The sequence below is a fragment of the Homo sapiens genome, chromosome 6 (assembly GCF_000001405.40).
Source record: "Homo sapiens chromosome 6, GRCh38.p14 Primary Assembly".
NCBI lineage: Eukaryota > Metazoa > Chordata > Mammalia > Primates > Hominidae > Homo > Homo sapiens.
Genome location: NC_000006.12, coordinates 15,366,153 through 15,393,303, shown reverse-complemented (window position 1 = coordinate 15,393,303; position 27,151 = coordinate 15,366,153). Strand labels below are relative to the sequence as shown.

At 43.6% G+C, this 27,151-nt stretch overlaps 1 protein-coding gene across 16 annotated transcripts in view, besides 4 other annotated features; it reads right to left on the bottom strand.

The window, feature by feature from the left end:
• The window catches only part of JARID2 (jumonji and AT-rich interaction domain containing 2), a 275,974-nt gene that overhangs the window by 128,739 nt on the left and 120,084 nt on the right, over window positions 1-27,151 (bottom strand). For 14 of the 16 annotated variants that reach the window (XM_011514579.4, XM_017010833.3, XM_047418735.1 and 11 more), the window contains one exon: window positions 19,052-19,187. In XM_011514579.4, coding sequence (XP_011512881.1) covers window positions 19,052-19,187 — 136 coding nt within the window. Of the gene's footprint in view, window positions 1-19,051; window positions 19,188-27,151 lie in introns of those variants that run through there. The other 2 variants (XM_047418743.1, XM_017010835.3) reach the window with 2 other exon arrangements.
• Window positions 2,722-3,081: an enhancer, noted in NCBI's record as "active region_24080". NCBI's record gives its function as "activates an Ori minimal core promoter by ATAC-STARR-seq in GM12878 lymphoblastoid cells {active_cell/tissue: GM12878}" and the evidence as "EXISTENCE:reporter gene assay evidence [ECO:0000049][PMID:35858748]".
• Window positions 5,704-5,813: an enhancer, noted in NCBI's record as "active region_24079". NCBI's record gives its function as "activates an Ori minimal core promoter by ATAC-STARR-seq in GM12878 lymphoblastoid cells {active_cell/tissue: GM12878}" and the evidence as "EXISTENCE:reporter gene assay evidence [ECO:0000049][PMID:35858748]".
• Window positions 5,824-5,903: an enhancer, noted in NCBI's record as "active region_24078". NCBI's record gives its function as "activates an Ori minimal core promoter by ATAC-STARR-seq in GM12878 lymphoblastoid cells {active_cell/tissue: GM12878}" and the evidence as "EXISTENCE:reporter gene assay evidence [ECO:0000049][PMID:35858748]".
• Window positions 7,295-8,055: an enhancer, noted in NCBI's record as "H3K4me1 hESC enhancer chr6:15385480-15386240 (GRCh37/hg19 assembly coordinates)". NCBI's record gives its function as "activates a minimal SCP1, AML or CMV promoter by ChIP-STARR-seq in naive and primed H9 embryonic stem cells {active_cell/tissue: H9 hESC(naive and primed)}" and the evidence as "EXISTENCE:reporter gene assay evidence [ECO:0000049][PMID:30033119]".

Below are 27,151 nucleotides of genomic sequence, written 5' to 3'. Positions count from 1 at the left end.
TATTATCTTCTCATTATAGTGGCACAGATACCATGGGCAAACATATTCTAACATTGCCCAAAAGACTAAAAGGCATTTGAGTAAAATATCAATTTTTTTAACTTTGTCAGAATTGTCTACATAACACACCATGAGGATAGCTGAAAGAATACCCAGAAAGACTTCCTGCCAAAAGCAAGAACAGAGCATAGGGATACACAGGAAGAATTTCACCACCATTTCATGCGTATCCTGCCTCTATGGCTGCACTGATAGCCTCTATCCACGCATGGCTTTTTAATTTTACATTAACTAAATCAAACACAAAATTCAGTCTCTTGGCCAGGCATGGTGGCTCACGCCTACAATCCCAGCACTTTGGGAGGCAGAGGTTGGCAGATCACTTGAGGTCAGGAGTTCGAGACCAGTCTGGCCAACATGGTGAAACCCCATCTCTACTAAAAATACAAAAATTAGCCAGTCATGATGGTGGGCGCCTGTAACCCCCGCTACCTGGGAGGATGAGGCATGAGAATTACTTGAACCTGGGAGGTGGAGGTTACAATGAGCGAAGACCGCACCACTACACTCCAGCAGCCTGGGCAACAAAGCGAAACCCTGACTCAAAAAAAAAAAAAAAAAAAGTCTCTTAATCACAACAGCAAAGCTCCAAAAGTTCAAGCATCACAGGTAGCTAGTGGCTACTATATAGGACAGCACAGACACAGAACGTTTCCAACATCACACACAGTTCTAATGGGTAGCAATGACCTATACTGCTGACCATGCTGACCAACATGTCTGCAGCAGTCCCTCATCCCTCTGTCGTCCCCTGTTACAAGCTTAGAACCCCCTCCTCACCACCTCCCCCATAAACAGGGCAAGTCGGACAGAAGGTGAATCCTTTTCAGGGGGCAAATGCAGCAGCAGGCTGACAAATCACCTTAAATTTAGCAGCAGATGGCTCGAGGTGGTAATCAGTCTAGCTTGTAGGGGAGGGGAGAAGGGGAAATAGAGATTGGAACTGTTAAAGAGCCCCAGGCTTATTCAGAAAACTAAAAACTGTAAGGAAAACTTCGTATACAAACGAATATCCCAAAGGGTGATTTTTATTAGAAATGGTTTTAGGCCACCTTAACGTGGCTTGACAGTAAAGGAAGGACAGCAATCATCAACTAATACTCTGGACAAAGTGGCACTAAAACCTAGGCCAAGTTGGACTCACATTTTGCCACCTCCAGACACGCACACACACACACACACACACACACACACACACACACACCACTCTGGGATCACTGCACTGGTGCCTTCACACACCAAAGGACAGGGTCAGTAGCCATGAAGGGCACATTTCCTCCAGAATACTTCTCATTCGCTTCCCTCCACATTCTGCAAAAGCATCCAAATGCTTCCCTGACCCAAAAGCATGATAGAGCCACCAAAGTGGGAGAGCAGGAGCATGCCTTCAACACCCCAAAGCCACTCACCACTGAAACAAAACCAAATGAGACAAAGAGATCTAGTGTTTTGTTTTACATAAGGAGGATGCCAGTGAAGGCATGCCTTGCTCCTAGACACCCAGTTACTGGTAGAACAAGAATTACGATCCAATGTCAGTGCCCATTCCAACATATCAAATTTTTGATGCATTCAATATTGCTTGAGATGGCTACAGTCCAGGAATTCTGGTTTAATATGATTTGACAGATTGCAAAGTGAATGGTTGCATAACACAGCCTTTATCATTTCTAAAAAGCTGCCTAAAATAGATAGGCCTTAAGAATTTTCTTTTGTTGACCCTAACTTAGAGCTTGTTCCCATCGGATGCTCTCCCACAGTCACTTTCTCCCCTCTGTCTGTCTCAGGCCTCCCCACTGACCCAGCTGGCACAGATCTAGCCTCCATTACATGCCACATGCTGGCTCTGAAACTCTCTGCTAGGGCTCCTCAGAGACTTCAGAACCCAATAGTCTGTGGGGTACCCCTCCTATACAAACCTAACACCGACTACGCCTACAGGGCAGCTTTCACCAACACCACTGAGGATGCCTTGCTGGGGAAAACTAGAGAGGCAATCCTTCCTTCCATGCTTGTCAGGGCCGCAGCAGTCTCAGCTCGCCAAGCCCTAGGGTGAGGCCTGATTACAAGACATTGGCATTCAGAACCTAGAAGGGGGCAAACCAACTTGAAAACCGTCCCTTAGGTGTCCTGCTTCATGACAAAGCTACAGCACAAATAGGAAGTCACGGGGTACTGTATATCTACAACCTCAATAATGATCGCCCTTTTAAATGTTTACATTCTTCCAGGCACTAAGAACCTGAAATAAATCAACTGCATTCATCGTAAGAATACCACCTCTGAGGAAAAAAAATTAGTATCCCATTTTCTGAGACGGAAAACAACAAACCAAACAGATGGTGGTATCAAGTTTGTCGGTTTTCTGAACCCTTGGTGGGACCCTGGGACATACTTACAGGGATGACAGTGTGATCCTTCAACAATTTCCACTAGCAGAGCTGGAGGACTGCGGCCTACTGGACCTGAGCTGGCAGGAGGGTAGATGCCCAGCCATTCTCTCCAGGAAATCTCTGATGGTCTGTATTCATGGATCCAAGGACAACCCAGTCTTCCTTCAGTTTTACAGAGCACACATGAGAAGGCCCAGCTTGCGTTCCCAGAGATGACCTGAGCTCTGTCAACAACTGCCTACCCCCACAAAAGGACAGGCAATCCCTTGCACAGAGTTTCTCACAGAGGGGCTAAGAAATCGGCCAGCAGGGATGTCAACATCCACTACCAAGAACAGCCACTTGATGGCAATCTTAACCTATTCCCTTGGAATTCGTCCATAAAGGGAGACCCCAGAAGGCTAGAAGCACCAAGCATGGGCTGCACAACGTGGACAGAGCTAAGAAGGACGTCCCTGCTTGACCTGAGTGTGCGGCAGTGCGGCGATGAACGGATAGAGAACCCCACACCAACAAGCACTGTTGGGTTCTTCTCCATATCTAGGCTTCTCTGGGGACTAGGCAGAAGTGGCTATAGGCTCTGCAGTCAGACAGCTCAGGAGCATGGAAACCTCTCGAGCTCCATGGCGCACTCACATTGGGTTTCTCATCAGACTGAAATGCAAGTGGACAGATGACAACAAATATGAGAATAAATCAAAGGCAAGTTCCTCCTCCTTACTGTGGAAACTTGTTCTCTGAAACAGGGAAGGGCAGGAGGCAGGGGGTGAAAAAAGTGGACTTTCCTTAGAAGGTGGGACACCTGTTGAATAAAGCACTCAAGCACCGCCCTCCTCATTTAAGTTGTCAAAGAAGGAAACTAAAAGCCATGTGCATCTCTAGGAAAAAAGTCTCTCCAGTTAAAAATAGAAATACACTGTAAATTGCTGCACTACACACTTCTATTTTTGGTAGCAGGAAGATGAACTGAAGGGCTCTCTGAAACATCAAAACATCAAAGGGTGGGAGGGGGTCCATACCATCATATTACCATAAAATAGTCCACTGTCTTAGCTAGGATAATGACACGTTTCCACAGAGGGTTCGACCTCACTTTGTGTGGTAGTTTCCCAACTCCTGGCTTCTCCATTTATAAAAAGAGTTCAGGCAGAGTGAAGAGTTTGCCAACATTTTCCTCAGAGGGATTCAGAAAGTGCCAGCTGAGAGCCTTCCAGCTCACCCTTTAAAACTCTGTAACACTTTCCAACTGAGCAAACTGGAAGGCCCTTTCAAATGACACTAGGAACAAAGTCATCTCATGGAGGGTACACTGCTGGGGGAGCCCCTAGGGAACAGATCACTCTAGATGCATTCTTCTAAATTCACTCTCAAAGGAGGCAAGATGCTATTTTTCAAATAAGCATTCAAAAGCATGGGTCCCTTGGTGAAAACCCCAATCACATGGGATGGAAGCAGACTATCAAAAATAACAGTGTTCCAGCCTGGGCAATACAGTGACACCCCATCTCTACCAAAACATTTAAAAATCATCCAGGCGGTGACACGTGCCTATAGTCCCATCCACTCAGGCGGCTGAGGTGGGAGGGTTGCTGGGGGCGGTGCACGCAAGCTGCAGTGAGCTGAGATCGTGTCACTGCACTACAGCCTGGGCAACAGAAAAAATAAAAACAAACAGTTAAATAAATTGATTAAATATAAAAGACAGTTAAATGATTGCAAAATGGAGACCTTGGACTGCCTTCATGTAACACATGGCAGCATAACTTTGAGAGCCATGGAAAGCTAAAAGCAGACTACCACTTCAGAGACCACCAGAAGCTAGCCTGGGAGCCTCCACACGTGGCCTTCCCCGTCACCAAGATGGCAGTACCAAGCATGAACAGGCACCCACCTAACTGCAGAAAGAAAACAGGGACTCAGTTAAGGATTACCCAGATGACAAGGGCAGGGCAGATCACACAGGAAGACAACCTTTCTGTGTATACACAGAAAGAGCTGAACCAGCCATTAGCTCCAAAGCATAAATGAAGCAAGAACACTAGTAACAGGTCAGGGAGAGAAGCTACGGGGTCTGAAAGCATGCGGGGCATAAGTTACCATGAAACACAAGAGACAGCTCTCCTTGGATGTCAATGGCAGGGTACAGGTTTGGCCTTGCCGGTTTATAATCAAGAATGGGATGTCACTGGCGAATATAAAATATTATAAAATATTTATATATTTTATATTATAGTTTGTTGTAGAAAAATTATATATATATATTTTATAATATATTATAAAATAGCTCATGTTTCTCTCCTCATCCCCACACCTCCTTGAACGATAGACTTGTACTGTTTTTATCATCCTTGGGAAAGAAATTATGAAGAAGCTAAATCTGGGACTCTACAGAAACATTTTAAAGCCTATAGAGGAAGCTAAAAGGATAGATGAGATTTGGCAGCAGGTGAGCTTAAAAATCAAATTGTAAATTAAGGGATTTATGAACTGTAGGGTAATTTCCCAGAAGCATATCTAGTAATCACTCTTCTGGCTTTTAAAGATATACCATACAGGACTCTAAACATTTAAAGTGGCTCAAGTAATAACAGGTTATTTCCAAAAGCTAAGTAAAGGGCCCTCTAAATTTGAGGGAAATCAGATCTAAGACATTCACAAGCACAGCAAAACTACCCTAGTCCATTACAATAAATCTGATAGTAATTAAAGCTACTTAAATACACATATCACAGAATTCGAAGATTTAGAAAACACATGAAGCCTTTCTCTAGCAGGGAACAATATCACTCTATAAGAAAGAACGTCAATAAATCCTATTCACAAACAAGTCACCTCTGGCTGTAGGAAGCCCTATCTGGTGACCCTGCAGGGTCTTTCTATTCTATTACACGTCAAGAATAAAAAATGGCTGGGAGTCACAAAAGGTAGATAAGATGAATTACTGTTAAACAGATAGGATTCCCTCGACCTCAGAAGTCCTCAAATAATTCCACAATGCTTCCCCAAATAATCTATGACAACAGAAACATCCTCCCAGGACCATCACAACTGCCATCCCCCTGTCAAAAGCAGTTACTCCATCCAGGCTTCTCAAAGGTCAAACAGCTCTAAGGGTTTCCTGACTTACCAGGAAAATGTTCTAGTATCACACAAGCAAGAAAGAAAACATGCTGCAGATTAACATGGAGTTTAATTTAATCTACAGTTAGACTGGAATAAAATTGTCACCATGTCCAAGGCCTGCAGAGACTGTAATGTACTCCCCACAAAGTCTTCTGTTGAAGCTCTAACCCCTAAGGTCCATGAGAAGGTGATCGAGGGTAAATAAGGTCATAGGGGCACAGGGCTCTGACCTGAGAGGGCTGGAGTCCTCGCATGAGGAGGAAGACTCAGAGGAACCAGCCAAGAAGAGGGCACTCAACAGGAACCCAGCTGGCCTGCACCTTGATCTTGGACTTACAGACACCAGAACTGTGAGAAATGGAAATTTCTATTATATCAGCAGCCCAGTCTAAGGTAATTTATTATGGCAGCCTGAGCTGACTAATATACAGACTTTCACCACAGCCGCAAGAATATGATTAGCAATCCTATCCCACCACAGGCACACGCACACTGTCTTGGCATCCTCAAGGGCGACAAGGAGATCATGGGCTCCTCACAGGATTCAGTCTAACTAAAGACACCGCACTAGCAAAAGACATGACCTACAGATGTCTCTATAGAGTGCCTCTGGGGAAAAAAGCCAAGTCTGGGACCCTAGCTCCAGAATTTTTAATTATTAACATTAATACACACCCAGGCTGAGTATTCCGAATACTCACAGATTAAAAACAGTGGTGGCTAATGTGCTATACGAGAAAGGTGACACTGAAGACAGTCAGAATGAAGCCTCCTCCAAAGCCCATCTGCTCTGAGTTTACACAACAGTTCAGAACAAAAACCATGATGCCAGTTTAAGAGACAGTCTGACTCTGAGAATGTCATCATCTTTCCAATCGCAGGGTTCTTATTCCAACACTGTGCCTACATAAGCCACTTCTGGAGCTGCTAAGGGGATGCACATGGGCCTCTGGCCTTGAGGCACTTTCAGTCCCCAACACTCTCAGACATTCGGCACATTCTGGACAAACATCATAAACCCATCGATAAGCATAACAGCTCTTAAAAATACAGGCAGTGGTGTTGAGGAACTCCACAATGAGCAAATACATTTAAAGAACTCAACCGGCCAGGCGAAGTGGCTCACGCCTGTAATGCCAGTAGGAGGGGGGATCACCTGAGGCCAGATCTTGAGGTTATAACGCCCTCCAGCCTGGGTGGCAGACCAAGACTCTGTCTCTAAACAAACAAACAAACAAACATGTCAACTGTACTGAAGGGAGAAGGAGGAACCTTTTCAGCGTGATAGGAAGGTATTTTATCTACACTGGAGTGTTGCTCACTTGGTTATATGTGTACACTTGTCACAACAAGACATACTGGAGATATGTGGTTTCACAGGCTTTCCTTAGTTTAAACACACACATACACACACACCCACACAGAAGTAGAGAGAGGGAGAGAGAGGGGGAAAGGAAGGGGGAGAAGAACAGGGAGAGGGAGAGGGGTGGGGGAGAGGGAGAGATAGCTATCTGGAGTCAGAAGACCTGGGCTCAAACCCTGATTTGACCACTTCTCTGCTAGGTGGCCTTGTACAAGCTGCTTAACACCTAAGGCCCATTAAATTAACCCCAAAAATATTAGTAAAAGTACAAAAATCATCAATTGAGAATTAAGAGACATAATTTTTTTACTTTTTCTTAAAAGCCCAATTGTAATTTAAACCACCAAGCAACATACCTTGTACCTAAACAGGGATGCGATGAATGTGGTTCAGAAAGAAAGGACACAAGGCTGACCCTATTCCAAGAATCTCTATGATAGTGAGACATATCACACAATTATGAATGCACATTCCCTCTGGCAATGGGGAAAATAAGATGAGCTGACATCTGGGGGCCTAGGGTGTCACGGTGTGAGCATTTCTAAAATGAAATCTGGAGTCCCAGTTGGCAGACTCTCAGTCCCCTGAACAGAGAGTGGCACATCCACAGCATGGCAACAAGAGGTGCTGGAAAGGGGGCGGCAGAGACGTGGGTGGCATGCAGGTGGGCCACTGAGCCGTCTGCATGCTCATTCACACAACACAGACTTCGGAGATCCCAGGCACAGGGAAAAGCAGCAGTCAACACAAATGAATTTTCCTCTCAAAGCGCTTACAATCTAATGTGGCTAGACACATTAGATAATTATCTATATAAATAATAAATATCTATAAAATAATATCTATAAAAAACTATATCTTAAAAAATCTATTAAAAAATCTATATAAATAAATAAATTAGAATAAACGCACGCACATGTCCCTCCCTCACAGTACTACAATGTCAGGCAGTGAGAAATGCTGTGCAGACAGACTTCATAAGGTAAAGCGCTAAGGAGTAACAGAGGCAGGTACCCTTTTTACTAGAATGTTCAAGGAACATTCCAGGGTATGGGGGCACTTAAAGGGGAACCTGAAACATACAGAGAGATCAAGTCACATAGATACCAGAAGGGAGAGAATTCTCAATAGAAGGATCAGCTAGAGCTAAACAGAGTATGCTTTGTGTATTTAAAATACCAGGAAGAGGGACAGAGACAATGAGAACAGAGTGATACGGGGGCCCAATCAAGTGGCCAGCCATGAGGATATTTCGCTTTCACATTAAGAGCATAGGCAGATATGCCAGAATCAGAACAGAGCATAGCACAGCCTCATTTGCATTTTTAAAGGTTTATGCTGGCTGCTGCCAGGAGGAATACAAAGGCAGAAGCTGAGCGAGCACAGGGAGGCTGCAACATAACCTAAGCTAGAAAGTATGACAACGTGGAACAGGAGCAGTAGTACAAGTTCAGAATCAAAAGGTACTGTGAGTTTCAAACAGGTTCACTAAGGACTAGTGAAGTGGCTCACACCTGTAATTCTAACACTCTGGGAGGCCAAGGCAGGAAAGAGGATCACTTAAGCCCGGCAGTTCGAGACCAGCATGGGCAACACTGTGTCTATTTGCTGGACATGATGGCACATGCCTGAAGTCCCAGCAACTTGAGTTCGGGGGGTTGGGGCGGGATGTTAAATGGGGAAGGAGCCCAGGCTGCAGTGAGATGTGATAGCCCCCACTGCACTCCAGCCTAGGCAACATAGCAAGACACTGTCTCTAAATAAATAAATAAATAGTAAAACAGGTTAGCTAAAGCTAAATGCAAAAATCTGAAAAAAGAAGTAACAGATGACTCCAAGGTTTTGGCCACCAAAACTAGAACAAAGGAACTGCCACTTATTGAAAAAGGGAAGAAGGGGCAAGCGGACAACAGAAGCAGATGAGAGACCTCACAGATAGTTGGCTTTGGGACATCTTAACTTCATGAGGCCTATCCAAAAAAAAAAAAAAAAATCAAAGTGGGCCAGGCACAGTGGCTTAAACTTGACTTTCGAAGGAACAGCTAAGCCCAGGAGTTCAAGATCACCCTGGACAACACAGGGAGACCCCATCTCTACAAATAATTTAAAAATTAGCCGGGCGTGGTGGCACCCACCTGTGGTCCAAGCTACTCAGGAGGCTAAGGTATGAGCCTGAGAGTCGAGGCTGCAATGAGCTGTGGTCGACCCAGTGCACTTGGGCCTGGCCCACAGAAGAAAATCCTATCTCTAAAAAATAAAAATAAAAAAATAGGTTGGGCACGGTGGCTCACGCCTATAATCCCAGCACTTTGGGAGGCAGAGGCAAGCAGATTACCTGGGGTCAGGAGTTCGAGACCAGCCTGACCAACACGGAGAAACTCCATCTCTACTAAAAATACAAAATTAGCCGGGCGTCTTGGCGCATGCCTGTAATCCCAGCTACTCAGGAGGCTGAGGCAGGAGAATTGCTTGAACCTGAGAGGCGGAGGGTGCAGTGAGCCAAGGTCGTGCCATTGCACTCCAGCCTGGACAAGAGCGAAACTCCATCTCAAAAAATAAAATAATAAAATCAAAATGCAGCAGTCAAGCAGGCAGGTGGTGTTCAGGAGATGTTCAATCACGGTAAATGCTGCTAAATGGGCAATTACACCCCAGAATAATGGAAATGTGGCTTGGGCAATCATTACTGACCTTGATAAGTGGCCCAACGTGAGGGGTTTAAAGGTGAATGGCAAAGGAAGGCTGGGGGATATTAATATGAATATAAATAGAAGGGCATGGAGACAAACCTTTTAGACATTTTCTTATGGGGGATTTTGCTATAAACTAAGAGAAAGATACAGCAGGCAGGAGATGCAAGAACAAGGGAGGCTTTACTTTATTATGGGAAAAATAAGAACATGTTTCTACAATGGTGGGAATGAACCAGTAAAGAGAGGTAAATGATGAAGGAGGGATAATTTCCAGTGTGATGTCATGGAGGGGGAGTTATTAATTTCATCCGCAAAGAAACTAGAGAGACCCTTATAGAAAGAGCTTCAGCTTAAAAAAAAAAAAAAATCCCAACCTGGGCATGATGATACATGCCAGTAGTCCCAGTGTCTCAGAAGGTGAGGTGGGAAGACTGCTTAAGCCCAGGGGTTTGAGGCCAGCCTGGGCAACATGCAAGACCCTGTTTCAAAGAAAAAAAAAAAAATTCTAGACTACAACAAATTTCCATCCATTTGCCTTCCCCACTTCTTTGAAACTGAACTCCTATAAAAACTGGCAAAAGCAAATAGGCTGTAGCAAACAGGCCCAACTAGAGCTCAGACTGCTCTCCCTCCCTTCTGTCTCCCTACACAGACCACCTCCTCCGCCCTATAGCCCTACACATACAGACTCCACTACCCAGGTGACACTACCTGAGTGCTGTGTCCCTCCTAAAGTCGTCCAGGATTGGATGGGAATGATGATGTAATCAGGGAAACAGAGCCCAGCTCACAGAACTGACAAAGGAGGCGGGCAGAGAGAAAGAGAGGGGCAGTGGGTGTCAAGCACAAAGTGACCCGAAAGAGGAGCACATTAACCTCCTCAGGCACCTCCATTCTTAACGCTCCAGGAAATGCGTGCAAGCAGCCATGCCTACTAGGAAGCGTGGCGCCTCACTGTCACTTAAATTGGATTTCTGGTTCCAATCAGGCTTCAGCATGATCCATTCCTTCCAGTTAAGTTTCTCATCAAGGCTCAAAATTCCTCATCTGTAAAATGATGAGTTTGACCTATATACCTCTAAAAAGACTCTTCCTGCTCTAGCAGTCCTTAATTTTGCACACCACTCCTTTGGCATCAGACCAGTACAAGTGACTTGGCCACGGAAACCGGCCATTGCAGCCATTTGTCCCACTAGATTATGACACCAACAGACCAGTCAAATATTTGCTGACCCCTGCCACCCCAAGGTCTTGCTCAGAAATCTCTCGCATCTTTCAAGACCCCTTTGCAAGGCTCATGGATATACAACGTTTCCTGTATCTTAGGACTGGGTCTCTGACATCATCTGCCTCCCTGCTAGCCTCCTGCACTCACCCATACACTCGTTTGGGGTTTTTGGTTCTGTTTTTTGAGAAAGTCTCACTCTGTTGCCTAGGCTGGAGTGCAGTGGTGCGATCTTGGCTCACCACAACCTCTGCCTCCTGGGTTCCAGCAATTCTCCTGCTTCAACCTCCTGAGTAGCTGGGAGTACAGGCGTGCGCCACCATGACTGGCTAATTTTTGTATTTTTAGTGGAGACGGGGTTTCACTATGTTGGCCAGGCTCATGATCCGCCCGCCTCGGCCTCCCAAAGTGCTGGGATTACAGGCGTGAGCCACAGTACCCAGCCCCATTTGGTTGTTAAAGCATTTATCCTACAGTATTTTATCCTGCTTCACAGATTTTAAGTTGCATCTATTTTTCTCATGTTAAAACATGCATCTCATAATTAAGCTGTCCCACATTCATCATTGGAAGCACTGTTTTGTTCTTGCTTACTGATACATAACATAATGGTGCATCACTCAATGACATCTTAGAAGGGATGAAATAAGGTATTAGGACTTGACCAAAGTAAGCAACTTGATCTCAGTTTTTATACCCACAATGCCTCCCACATAATAAAAACTCCAACACTTACAAAATGAAAATCTGAGAAATGCCCCACCTACATCACTACATCAAAAAAGCAGCTGAAAGACAAAGAGCCCAAGCCTTCTCGCCTTTCCACAACAAATGTAGCTTCCTTTGTAAACAAAAAATAAGTTGTTTTCAACAACATTGAAGCCCTTCATTTCACCCAGCTTTCTTTCATGCAGAGTGTGTCCTCACATCAGGGGAAACAGGAGAGGGAAAGAAAAAAGTCTGGAGGCCAGGACACAGGAGTGTTAGAGAAAACTCAAGCTGCAACTGGTCTCCCTACAGCTTGCAGAGGAGGAGACTAGCACACAGACATCAACACTTCGGTAAAGCTGAAGCATAAGCCACTTTTTTTTTTTTTTTTTTTTTTGAGACAGGAGTCTCCCTCTGTCGCCCCAGCTGGATTGCAGTGGCACGATCTGGCTCACTGCAAGCTCCGCATCCCAGGTTCACGCCATTCTCCTGCCTCAGCCTACAGGCACCCGCCACCACGCCCGGCTAATTTTTTTTTTTTGTATTTTTAGTAGAGACAGGGTTTCACCATGTTAGCCAGGATGGTCTCAATCTCCTGACCTCGTGATCCACCCGCCTCGGCCCCCCAAAGTGCTGGGATTACAGGTGTGAGCCACCGCGCCCGGCCCATAAGCCACTGTCTTCAGAAGAAAATAATAATAATAAATAATAATAAATGATAATGATAAAGTAGGCACCATCTCTAGTACAGCTAGACCTGAAAGTTTCCAGCAAAAACAGAAGGGACAGGTGTTCCCCTTCGTAGAGGAAGGTCACTTTATACCCCAGACATTCATTTCAAATATGGCCCACAAATAAACTTACGTAAATCAGACCATGTGACCTGACATTTTTTTATTTTGATTCACAAATACGTTTTTATGACTTGTGTGAACATATTTTGTTAACAATGAATTCACAGTCGGGCCCACATTTCATTCCACACACATCAAGAATCTTTGGAAATGACTGAAAGATTCTGAAAGGAGTTCAAAATTATATTTCTTAAAGGGGGCTTGGGGGGTGTTGGCTACACAATGTCCCACATCTGCGCTTCCAATACTGGTCCTTGGCTACAAATTGGCAGCTGTTGCCAAAACATCCATGCACCATCCGTCCAGTGAGTTCCAGCCAGCCAGAACGACAACAGCATTAAAAACACAAAACTCTAAGTGAGGAAATGGAAACTAACGGATGCATCTGTGTGTCTGACTGAAGAGAGGAGGAAACCAATTCACAGTCTACATTTTTGATACCCTCTATCAATTCAATTACAAATCATAAATAAAGCCCAGAAACACAGTCAATAAATACTTACCATGCCTTCCAAGGTTCTTTTTCCCAATAAAAAATTCACTTACTGACGGCCAGGCACGGTGGCTCACGCTTGTAATCTCAGCACTTGGGGAAGCCGACGTGGGCAGATCACCTCAGGTCAGGAGTTTGAGACCAGCCTGGCCAACATGGTGAAACCCTCTCTCTACTAAAATATAAAAGTTAGCCAGGCATGGTGGCACATGCCTGTAATCCCAGCTACTCGGGAGACTGAGGTGGGAGAATCACTTGAACCCAGGAGGCTGAGGTTGCAGTGGGCAGAGATTGCGCCATTACACTCCAGCCTGGGCAACAGAGCAAGCAAGACTCCATCCCCTCACCCCCGGCCCCCGACCAAAAAAAAAAAAAATCCACTTACCTCCTTCCAAATAAATACCTACTTAAAAAAAGTAAAGTCTTCCTACAAATTCTTATTTTTGGAATGCTATCTTTATGAAAGGCTCCAAAATTACCTCTCCTTATCTAAGTGGTGGCTACAAGCTTGGGAGCTCTAATCCAGAAAGCATGGGAGGTCTGATCCAAAAGGCCTGGTCTTATATCCTCATGCTTCCACTTAATAGCTGGGTAGGCAAATTGCTAATCCACTCTTAGTATATAGTTTCCTCACCTATAAAATTGCTTGTTCTGAAGATTAAATGAGTTAAATACAGCTAAAGTACTAGAACAATAACTGGCAAATAGTGAGAACTCAAGGTAGGCTAGCCATCACAACTACTGCCCGGGGTAAGTTTAAGGAAATGAATCCAGGGTCCCTTAAATCTCATCAAGAGTGTTTTGCTGGCCAAAGGACTTGATCTAAGATGACATTTATAGGAAGCAAATGAAATTCAAATACAGTTAATAGCTTCCCTCTCTGACTGTGTAATTCTGTGTACTCATTATTTGTGTAGCATGTTATTATTTAAATGTCCCTAATTTTAGCCTCAGCAGGCCAAGGGCCCTCAAAGAGTGGCCAAGGTCTCAGCCTCTGCCAGTCCTTTCCAAAGCTTTTGTCAATTTATTACATCCATGAAAAGTGGCATTATCTACAACAAAAAGTAGACAGAAGGCTCACAATCAGCAAATCTTACCACTTCACGCTTAAGCCCAGCAATAACCAACAAGCTGTAACGATGGCATCAGTTGCTACACAGACAACTCATGAGGCTGTTCAAAACTCACATATCCTACCAATAGTAGGGCCAAAAAAAAAAAAATTCATTCCTTGTCACTGTAAAACCACAAAAACAAGACTGATAGCAAACATGGATTTTATGACATGAAAAACGACGTGTCTCCACTATCTTATGTCTGCTTAGGTTATTACTACTCACAGACCTACAGAACCAGGGCAGCTGAGCTCACTGCTCAGATACAAGCTGCAGTGTCCACACACTGTTCCCAGGCATCAGATACCCGACCCCCTTCACACAGATGAAGGGCAAAGGGCTGCTTGTTCATCACACCAGGATGCCAATGATTCAGGAGATGTCACATGTATTTTATTTTCAAATTAGATAAAAATTCTGTAAAATCCATTCTGCTGTTATTTTTAAATATTATGGTAAAAACAAATGATTTTTCCCAGGAAAGCCTCCAATCATCCATTTATATTTTCCAATAATCAAAGATCCAGAAACAACGCTGGAAATGGGAAAAAACAAAACATCTTCTTTTCAATATTCCTATTGCAAAGATCCAATGTAGTTTTCATGCATTCTGTCTTGCAAAAAAGTACTGGATTCAAAGTTACAGGACTTGAGCTGCAATTCCAATTCTGCTACTGTGAATTAAATACCTGTTTGACTTTAAGAAAGTCACTACCACATCTAACAGTCATAAAGGCCCCATAGTTAGATGGGTCTTTCAGTTTACAGATCTCTGAGAGTCTCTGAGTGCCAGGGCTCTCAGAGGCATGTCACTGTCCCCAACCTCGAAGGCATGAAAGAGGACACAGAGGCAGAAGCTCCACCACCACCCACCCTTCTCTGGGGTTAAGGCACATGTTCTCATCCTTGCTTGCACAGCATATGTCACCTCCTAGCAATGGCTCTGGACTGGACAATCTTACAACTCTACCACCAGACAAATTTCTGTGACAATTAAAAATTAATGAACCAGTGGAAACATTTTGACATTTGAAAAGGAATCTTTTGGGTTGGGAACTAACCAAAAAAAAAAAAAAAATTAAAAATTGAGGGCCGGGTGGGGTGGCTCACCCCTGTAATCCCAGCACTTTGGGAGGCTGAGGTGGGCGGATCACAAGGTCAAGGGATGGAGACCTTCCTGGTCAACATGGTGAAACCCCGCCTCTACTAAAAATACACAAAAAAATTAGCTGGGTGTGGTGGCGCGTGTCTGTAATCCCAGCTACTCTGGGGGCTGAGGCAGGACAATCACTTGAACCCGGAGGCAGAGGCTGCAGTGAGCAGAGATAGCGCCACTGTACTCCAGCCAGGCAACAGAGGGAAACTCCATCTCAAAGAAAAAAAAAAAAGAAGAAGAAAAAAAATTGAAAAAAAAACATACATCTTGCATGGACTTATCCATCCTGGCTCGGGACAGGTGGCTCACACCCATAATCCCAGCACTTTGGGAGGCCGAAGCAGGTAGATCACAACGTCAGGAGTTTCAGACCAGCATGGCCAACATGGTGAAACCCCATCCCTACTAAAGATAAAAAAAAAAAGTGCCACCATGCCTGGCTAATTTATTATTATTACTATAATTTGTAAAGACAGGGTCTCAATTTGTTGCCCAGGTGTGGTGGTGCATGCCTGTAATCGCAGCTACTTGGGAGGCTGAGACAGGATAATCGCTTGAACCCGGGAGGTGGGGGTTGCAGTGAGCCAAGATCATGCCATTACACTCCAGCCTGGGTGACAGGCTCACAAAAAACCACCACCATTATAGTCAATCCGCTGTGATATGGTTTGGCTGTGTCCCCACCCAAATCTCAACTTGAATTGTATCTCCCAGCATTCCCACATGTTGTGGGAGGGACCCAGGAGGAGGTAATTGAATCATGGGGGCTGGCCTTTCCCGTGCTATTCTTGTGATAGTGAGTAAGTCTCACGAAATCTCATTTTCTCTTGCCACTGCCATATAACAGGTGCTTTTCACCTCCCTCCATGACTCTGAGGCCTCCCCAGGCATGAGGAACTGTAAGTCCAATTAAACCACTTTTTCTTCCCAGTCTCCAATATGCCTTTATCAGCAGTATGAAAACAAACTAATACACCCTGCTTCCACTCCCACTAACCTATCTTCTGATTTCATTTGACATTTAGGAAGTGTTTCTATGAGATAGGACATGAGTGATGGCTGACTATAAAGTATCCACTCAAACTAAAGGGATTTTTCAGCAAAGCATGCATATACATACACGCATATATACACAAAGACACACAGACACGTCCACATATATATGCACAACACAGCTTGCAGTTACAACAACCCCTACTCCTAGCCTCACCAGCCCTAAAGTCTTGGTTGCTCCCTACTGTGTGAGCTTTCTCTGGATCATGCTCCGAAAACACCTACAGAAGAGGAGCTCTTCCCATGATACCAATTCTGTTTTCCAGTGATTCCAAGTAGCTCCCCAAAATAAGAAAGTACACTTTGTTTAAGATGGTAGCTGCCTTGAAAATAATGATTTTTTAAAGAGAGAGTCTCGCTCTGTTGCCCAAGCTGGAATACAGTGGTGTGAACATAGCTCAATGCAGCCTTGACCTCCTGGGTTCAAGTGATCCTCCTGTCTCAGCCTCTTGACTAGCTGGGACCAGAGGCATGTGCCACCATGCCTGGCTAATTTATTATTATTACTATTATTTGGAAAGACAGGGTTGTAGTTTGTTGCCCAAGCTGGTCTCGAACTCCTGGGCTCCAGCAATCCTCCCTCCTCGGCCTTTCAAGGTGCTGGGATTACAGGCATGAACCACCGCACCAAGCAAAATAATGATTCTTAAAGCACACTCAAGTCCTGAAACAAGGAGATCTGTTTACTCAGAACTGCTATAGAAATCCCACATACAGAATAACAAAAAGGTAACCTTGGAACGCTGCCTTCATAAAAACCAACACAAACTAGAAAATGGCATATTCACAGCAATTTCACAACCCAAAGAGAAGCCGAGGTGTCTCTGTATTTTTTAAAAGACTTAAAAGTCTTTATCTGGATGAAAAGCAAACTACCATGACAAAAACTAACCTTCCCTTATGAAGGTAGTGCCAGAATAAATAAAAAGACTTCAGTGATCCCAATGTGGGCATCTTTGCCAACTGAGATTTTTCTCCTCAGTATCATCAATCCCTTGACTCTGCCAGAGCTAAACCTACATTTGGCCAACTGGCTGACAGCACTGGTTGCTTCTGGAATGACAAACTTTAGTTTTTGTTCATTTACTCAAATTCTACCTTTATTAAATCCTGAACATCTGGCTAACTTCTTGTTCTAAAAGCTGGTGTTTCCCAGTTAAGAAAATATGGGTGTTTTTGTTTCCACTGTTGGCAATGCCAAGAAACACTAAGGCATTACACCATTCCTGAACAGTACAGTGAGAGCATCACAACCATACAATCTAACAGTACAGCAGTCACTGCTCCACTCTAAACTCTAGGATTAAGTGATATTCTCCTTCATACCCAACCCCCCACATTTAATCAAGCAAGATGCTACGTTCAACGTGAATCAATGACAATAAACACGATCTATATCACATCAAATGTTCTCCAACTACACACAAGGTTTTTAGTTTACTGTATTACAAGCAACGAATGGCTAGGGTCCCTCTCTGCTGGAGACCCACAGAACAAGGCAGAGTGCCTTTTAGGAAAGCAGCTATGAGGGTCTAAATTGGATTCTATGGCAATAGATTCCACAACTTATTTTGTTTTCTGCAAATGTTAAGACTCAAAATGGGCCTTTCCCATACATGTTGGCTGAGATTTGTTGAGAGACGCACACATGACTGAGCCACTATGGCCTTAATGGTTGACCTCCAAAGGCAAGTCACCCATAAGAAAGAAAACCCGGGAGGGTGGACAGAGGCTCTTCTTTCAAGTCACGCAACAGTGGAAGGAGACAGCACAACTAGGGTGAATGGTGAAGTTCAGAGAGGTCATCTCAGGAAACTCTGCCATTGCCCCATAGAAACAGAGCAGCAACAGGTACTGCTGTGCACTAGTGCCTGTGAACACTAGTTCCAACAGGAGGCTGCCAGACAACTCACCATACAACTAAGGTGGTGGGAAACAAATTGGAAGCCATGGTGAACCTGTCCTTTGGCACCCTAACAAACTGTCAAGTACCCCATATGTGGTGACTCTCCTAAGACCAGAGCCATAGCTCTCAAAAAAGAACAGAACCTGCTCTTTCTCATCTCCTTGCCCCAAGGAAGCATAAACAAAAACATGGTCAATTCATTCACTTTAACTGTAATCCTGATAAGTACACAGGGGATTATAGAATGTCACTGCATTCCCCTGAAATAAAATAGTAAACTACAAGCAAATGTTTGTCCTCAGATACTTTCTGTTGGATGACTTCATCTGCACCATATGAACCCTGTTCAAAACAGACATGAGAACAAACTCATATAGGAACAAGTTTCTTTCCAGGCATCAAGGAGCCAAGTGATAATCATCCAGGAAGAAGCACACTTCTAGAGGTATGCAAAGCTGTCCCACTGCAGGAACCTGCCCAGCAAGGAAGGAAGGAGAGATGAGAAAGCCGCTGAGCCAGAGAGCAGGAAAAGCAGTAGACAGAAAGATTTAGGCTATTTCCTATACAACCCGGGGACAAGAACTAAAGACTCCACATTTCAGCAAGATCATCAAAGAGTTCTGCTCACATACCAGTGTGGAAAGACATACATATAGAAAAACCAGCAAGACAGGACCTACAGAACAGACTAATGTATTTTGTCCACTATATAACGCGGTACATAAAGGAACACAAAAACAACCCTATAAACCCAACAGGATGTCTGCAGTGCAGATTCACCTAGCCTACAGACTGCCTTTAGGTGCCTAGACCAGGAAGCACAAGCTGCCAGAATACATCCAATTCAGGAACAAGTCCACGCCCAGAGATATTGTACATTCCAATGAGATATTCCAAGAGTCAACTCACCATTCACAGTTTTCAGGCTCCCAGCAATGCCTTCCGCATGCTGCCTCTTCTGGGAATTCTTGAACTCCTTCAGAGACAAATAAAGGACTTTACGTACCACCCGTTCTTCTGACCACGGAATCCCATCACTGTCATCCTGAAGAAACATAAGAAAAGAGAGGAGTTACTGAATAGAAAGCAAGGCAATATTCAGAGTCAAAATAAACTTTATTTTAAAGGAATTTCCGAACACGTACTGTGTGACCACGACCCAGTTCTCAATGTCAGAATTACACCCATAAGGTAAAGGGGCAATGACCTTTCTGAACAGGCCTCAAAGAAAAGTGAATCCACAGGCTGTTAAAAAGAATGAAAGCAACACACAACCATCTCACTTCTTTATACGCCCCAAAATCAAATACGTTCATCAACTAGTAATAGTTTTATATTCCTGACAAAGTTCAGAAAAAGGTGTTGTTATACCCACAACCAGAAGGATAATGGATCATTTTACTTGAGTTTTATAAAGTGAGCAATGCCAGAATGTACACTGCAACAGAAATATGTACGGAGCTCTTAAAAATGTTGCTGCCTCCCTTGGGAGCTCAAAGGATACAGCAGATATGGGTGCTGTGCATTCAAGGAATTTACAATCCAGTCAGAAGACATGGAATTGGATCCGCATTGGCCACTTAAGTAAAAGAATCACAAATAAAAGGAGAGAGTACTGCAGAAGGAGGCAACTGATCTTGGCGGCATACAACTGGCATGATTTTTGTTTTAATGTACACATTAATGATGGATCTTGAAGGTCTCATTTCAAACTGGCAACCTCATGTCTGTTGCTCCAGAACGAATACAAGTTCTTAAGAATTAACAAAATGAATGCAGAGATGACCAAAAACAAACAGCCAGCCCAGAGACTATTCCAGCAATTCCAGTCATAAAGATATAAAGAAAGACTCAAATTTTAAAAGCACTAAAGAGGGAAGAAAAAATTATACAGAGACTTGAGACAGAGCAAGAGGTGGGAAGACAGACATGGTTGACAACAGTCACTAAAGCAAGGTAAATAGGAAGAGATACATGTTTAAAGAATCAGCAAGATTAAGTCACTATAGTTTTTATTAATAGATGATGATTCACATGGCCAAGGATATTGAGAGGTTCTCTTCTGTAGCTGTTAATCTAAGAAGGACTTATGTTCACACACCTACATCAGACTTAATTAAGCATTTTATAAAAGTTCATTTTAGAAATGGAAGCAGGCCTGGCATGGTGCCTCACGCCTGTAATCCCAGCACTTTTGGGGGCCAAGATGGGCAGATCACGAGGTCAGGAGTTCAAGACTAGCCTGAATAACATGGTGAAATCCCATCTCTACTAAAAATACAAAAACTAGCCAGGCGTGGTGGCACGCGACTGTAATCCCAGCTATTCAGGAGGCTGAGGCACGAGAATTGCTTGAACCTAGAGGGAAAGGTGGCAGTGAGCTGAGATCGTGCCACTTCACTCCAGCCTGGGAGACAGAGTGAGACTCAGTCTCAAAAAAAAAAATAAATAAATAAATAAGAAATGGAAGCATACAGATACTTTGGGCCTTAAAAGAATAAGAAGAACGGCTTGGCGCAGTGGCTCATGCCTGTAATCCCAGCACTTTGAGAGGACAAGGCGGACGGATCACAAGGGATTGAGACCAACCTGGCCAACATGTTGAAACCCTGTCTCTACTAAAAAACTACAAAAATTAGCTGAGCGTGGTGGTGCACGCCTGTAGTCCCAGCTACTGGGGAGGCTGAGGCATGAGAATCACTTGAACCTGGGGAGGCGGAGGTTGCAGTGAGCCAAGATCACGCCACTGCACTCCCACCTGGGAGACAGAGCAAAACTCTGTCTAAAAATAATAATAATAATAACATTAATATCCCAGGTAAAATCATGATTTGGGGTATTTTGGATATTCAGGTTCCCTTTGTTCAAGGAGAAGGCAGAAAATCTCATGGGCAGTCTGGTGCTGTTTTACTGGTTTATACAAAAGAATTGGTTTTTCCTCCCTAACACTGAAGGATCACAGAAAACTTCCATGGGACTCAATGAGAAGTCTAGATGATCTGACGTCTCCTCCAGCACTTACGTTCCTATACTCTGCATAAATACAAACTTCATTTTAGAAATCCAACATCATAGAGACTCTAAGCCCTAAATAACTTAAGCTGCACTTTCGTTAAGCTTCACAGATTTCCTAGAATGAGAGTAATTCTCCATCTTCTACAGCAAGAGGAAGAAAGTCCTGAGAGAACTAGGATTTCCACCTTCTCCTTCACATCCTTCACTCACAGAAGCCTGCCAGGCTGAGATTTCCGACTGCTGGGCAGTGCCTCTAGAAGAAGGAGGTACATCCAGTCTTCCTGTCCGCTCTCCCAAGACAGCCAAAACATCCACAGACCACGGTACGGGGTCAGGGTTCGGACATGAAGGCTAAGAGAAGCCAGCAAACCTTGCCCCAACCTAACAAGAGAAACACAATTTCTAACCTGCTACTGCGTGTAGGTCACTGGAGACCTTCCCAATCAAATGATTAAAAACCAGAAAAATGGAGGAACCCAAATACCAACCTGAGTAAAATGCAACTGACTTGACACCACAACACATGAAAAGCATGATATAGCTGAATTAATCTTTACAGCAACTCCCCTGGGTTTGCAAGAAAGCTCTCCTAATATACTAGCTGCAACTGAATGATAGTGTTAACTGCAGGAGGAGTTAATGCTTATTAGGCTGAAATCCACCTCTTCAGCAGCCTCAGTCTATTCATAAAGGCTGTCAGACAGAATTCTCTTCATCACCACCAGGTTCCTATTCTCACTGTTCGAATCTCCACAACAAACAATGACGTGAGATTATAAACTATTATTTCCTACATGTACACAGTTTATAAATTATAAGGCCCCAAAATAGCTTTCAATGTAAAATTCCCATGACGATTTATTGCATCCTGTGCAGGCTGGTGCCTTCATCCTGACTTCAGGCTCCAGTTGAGAGAATTATTCCCCTACAACTAATGTCTAATTAAAACATAAACCATGTGAGATGAAAACTACAAGAAAGGAAGCGCATTTAAGGTTCAGTTACTGACACAAGCAGCTTCATTACACCTATGAAGTACTTTAAATACAGGAGAAGCAAATCCATGACCCAGATTATGGGGTTTCAAATGCTACACATTAAAATTCAAACTTAAAACACACACAACACACAAGTGTTTTGTAATCTACAGTGCTGGTTGAGACTTGTCACCTGCTCCCTCAATGCTGATGCAAGACACAAATCTAGTAGATGAGTTGACTCAGTGCTGTTCACAAGAGATAGACCAGTAGGTAATAATTCCAAATAGTCCCAATTAAGCTGCCTTTCTCAACTGTAGGGTCATGGTGAATCATCCTTACCTTATAATCCTCTAGCAGAATCCCAGATGCAGACAGCAAAGGTGTGCCTGCACTCAACCTATCCAAGATGGGGGAGAGGAAGGCCAGAAGAAATATCCTTCCAGTTTAATGCTAACTCTGCTGTGGCTATATCATTCTTCATTCAGGATCAACCAGTACTGAACGCTCTAAAAAACAGCCCAGATATGGCCGGGCGCGGTGGCTCACACCTGTAATCCCAGCACTTTGGGAGACCGAGGCAGGCAGATCACAAGGTCAGGAGATCGAGACCATCCTGGCTAACACGGTGAAACCCTGTCTCTACTAAAAGAAAATACAAAATATTAGCCGGGCGTGGTGGCGGGCGCCTGTAGTACCAGCTACTCTGGAGGCTGAGGCAGGAGAATGGCATGAACCTGGGAGGCAGAGCTTGCAGTGATCGTGTGCAGAGATCGTGCCACTGCACACTACAGCCTGGGTGACAGAGCAAGTCTTTAAAAAAAAAAAAAAAAAAAAAACAGCCCAGATACAACTCTATCATTAGAGGTCAAGCAAACTCAAAATACATACACCCAATACAGACCTTCCTTTCCATTTTCTCAATAGCTGTCTTATTTAATTAGGCATTTAACCACGGGGCAAGGAAATCACTACTCTTGTTCACCACTGTATCCCAGCTCCTAAAACATGCCTGATATAGCAAGAGCTGAATAAATACTTCTGGAATCAATTACAAACTCAACGAAGCTCAGTCTCACTGTTCCCACTGACATTTATTTACCCCTACTCGCCCTGCCAGTGTCTAACATCCAGTGCCAGAAGTCACACTGCTATCCTCATAAAACACTCCCCACAGAGACTAATCCCAAGGGGCTCAGCCACACCTCTGATTCTCAGCAGAGGCTGGTGTCCTAGGGGAGACATCCTTCCTCCACAGTGGCTGCTACCACTCGTTCCTCAGCCACTTTGCAGTGTTCTCTGTAAGAAAAAGTGCCAGTCCAGATGTCCACATGGTCTTACACATGTAACAACTCTGTCACACTCCCATTTGCTAAATGTTGACCAATGATTCCAGCTACTCTTCCCCTACCCCACTTACATCTGTTCAGACTCTTTCTCCTGTATTTCCAGCAATCTCTCATGATGCTCCTGCCCGACCCTCTAGATCCAATAATTCATTCTCAATCATATGTTCAAGTCAACTAATAGCCCATTAGCACCTCACTGTCTGAAAATCCAAATTATCCCCTTTGTCCTCTGTAAACCACTTCAGGCCCCTTGGTAGAATCAGTCAGGGTTTGACAGTGCAGACCTCTTCTTGGCCCACTCTGGAATGGCCCACAAAACCAAGCACCCCATGCATTCTGGTTTACTGGTCAGCTTAATATAGAGGACACAGGAATACGCCCTTTAGAGGAGAAGTGATGGCTCCTTTTAAACTGCAGGATTACTGCCACTTTTGAAAATAATAGAATTTCTTATCAAAAAGAGCAATTGGTCAGGAATCAAACTTGTATATGGTCATAATTTTTTTTACAAAATTTACTAAAATTAGTAAAAAACACTGTGCCAAGTGGTTAAGGTACAGGTGGTCTGTGGGCCACAACTTGGCATTGCAAGTTATCTCTAACCCGGACTGTGAGTCTTTTTACTAAAAGACAAAAAGGAGAACAGAACCACTCACTGTTCCAAGTTCTATAATACACACATAAAATACCAGAGCTCAGAAAGTAAGCACATGATAACATCACATGCCTTTTATCAGACAACACCATGTAACAACTCTCCACAGCTGACGGTCCGGGCTAGAGATTCAACATATCCTTCCATAGTGTTGCAACTCCAAGACAGACCACCTGTACCTTAACCACTCGGCAGCCTGTTAGAAAAGCAGAATCCTGGGTCCCATCCAGATCTAGGGGCTCAGAATCTGCACTGATGCCCAGATGATTCTGGTACACGGTCAAGTTTCAGAAGCTCTGCTCTGCAAAATAGGACTCCATCCTGTGCCTATATACATCAGAAAGAAAAGATGAAACCTCCAAGACGAATGCTTCAAACATCCATCCCATGCGGCCAGTATTACTGTCAGAATTCAGATGTCTATATAAATATACCCTGAGAAATCTTCCTTTGACTCCTCTTCAGTGATCAAAGAGCACAGCGGAAAACACCCAAAAAGGTATGGCACTAAGTAATGCTAGTTCCTTTAATCATTCCTTACGTGACACGGTCTCTCAAACCCTTCTCTTTTGGTTACTCAACTTGGGATGACTTCTCTTTAAAACCCAACAACCAGAATTAAATATACATTCAAATTACATGTGAATAATCCTCCAGAACAGATCCAACACATACAAGAAGATAATTCTATTTCCATGCACAGTCTCATGACACTGCAGGATCTCATGAGTTTGCAGTTAACTATATCCTCCATGGTGACTGTTTCTTTGCAGGGATGGGGAGGAAGTAAGTAAAAGTATTGCATCACCATGAAACAAGAACCAAATGAAGGATCCAATCCAACCAAAAGCACAGCTCCCAGTGATACAATTTTATTTTCCTGTGATGCTCTCCTCTACTCATTTTAAAGACAAAAAAACAAAAAACATCAAAATTAAAACCTTGTACAGGCCACTGACAGAAAGCTATGTGTGCATAATATAACCAAGTTGTATTCAGACCAGGTTAATGAACTGCTTTACAAGACAAAAAGGTACATGATCCACACTTTTAAAAACCAGATTGTTTTGATATAGTTTCTAACTACACCAAGAGTTCTTATAATTTGTCTCAAGGTTGGTTGGATCACCCACCAAGAAAAAGCCTTTACAGGATGGTGTTCTGCAGTGACAGCCAACTCTTCAATAATATGGGCCCTCAAAAATCTCTGAAAAGGACTCAAGTACATTAGTGCAAGAAAACAGAGACATCCAGGTCAGTAAAGCTCGCAGAATGGGTGCCACCCAGAGGATGATACTTGGAGTCGACTGGAAAGACTTGAAAACTCCATCATGATTGTACTAACAGCAAACCTCTCCTGGGGAAGCAGGAGTTGGGCAGTGAGCTCAGCACCACCTGCATTTAATAATCATGATTTCTCTGCTCAGCCTTCCTTTAGTATAAGGTCCACACCACTGCTTTCTCCCTTTAGAGTCAAAGGTATGGGGGAAACGAAGTAATCGTGAAACTTTTAGTTATTTCTAGAGATGAATTCCAGAGTCTTGACGCAAATGTGGCATTGGTAGTCAGTCCATGGCAGATATCAGATCAGGAAGTAAAATTTCAAAACTCAGAAATGTGTTAGTAGCCAGAGATGTTAAATATGTAACTCACACTGACTCCTAGGTAAAAGCAAAATTAAAATTATTGGTTTGCAGAGGCTTCATGTAAACAATATATGAAAAAAAACTATTATTAGTAGTGGGGATAGAAGTGGGAGTAGGGGAAGGAATTTTCTATTACTAGCCTACAATTGGCAAACCATCGTTATGCAATTTGTTCATACCTTGGTTTTTATTATGGTTTCAAATTCAGGCCATCTTGATTTGGGAGAAGGAAACAAAGATGAAAAAGCATGGGTTAAAGGAAAACACATTTCTGATCAATTAAAAATCAATTTTCTGACAATTACATCTATTTAAAAATGGAAGACAGTTAATTTCCTATCACTTGCAGGCAAACTACCTTAGACACTCATGCTTCACAGGTAGAGTGGTCAAGTCATTTATTACCCAAATCAAGGGCACTGGTAGTAACGACAGGGAAATACCTCGTGGAAACTGGGTCATGGGTCAACCAACTCTACCAGGCCCCTTCCAGGAAATCTGAATCAATTAAAAACAAACCAAAAAAAGCCTACAATGACACAAAGACTTTTTTTTTAACCATATCTCCAAAAAGAAATAAAGCCACTACAATAAATATTATAAAACAAATATAACATAGACATAGCAGGATTGTAAGTGTGACACACATCTGTTCTAAAGTTGGAATTCAGACCCCCCACCAATGTTTTAAATAACAACCTGGTGATAAAGAGGCAGAAGGTGGCAACCTAGGTGCACTTACGGAAGGTGCTGCAAAAAAACAATCCTGCTTCCACTGGGCAGGGGCACAGGACATCAAAGGCTCTTCACAACCCCTAGTACCTAAAACCAACTGAAATGCAGAAATCGCCTTCGAATTGATGGGGCCATAGGAGACCAAGGAAAGGAGCACTCAGGATCACAGGCAGGAAGATCTCCTAACACAGAGCCTCTTTATTAAAATTCACAGAAATGCTAAGACATGGCAATTGGAGTTGCCAACCCCACCCCCCACCCCCCCCGCCCCCCCCGCCCCCCACCCACATATAGAGATCGCTAGAGCTCTACAGGTGGAGGGATGTGGCTACTTTCAAAAAGAAAAAGAAGTGCTTTTCCTGACTCCAATGCCCAAAGGACCAACATGCAATGTCATATCATGGGATTAAGGATGGTGGATCTGAACAACAGCCGTACAGAGCTGAATAGCAAATGAAAAAAAACATTCTAAAAAACTAGGCCCATGGACAAGGAAAGGATTGATTGCTATTTCCTCCTCCCAAGGATAAATGACTGGAATCCTGTACATGAATGCCTTTTATTTTCAGAACGTGTTTCTCATATACCTGCTGTTAAATCACCCTACTTGAAACAACTTGTGGCTGCCTGAT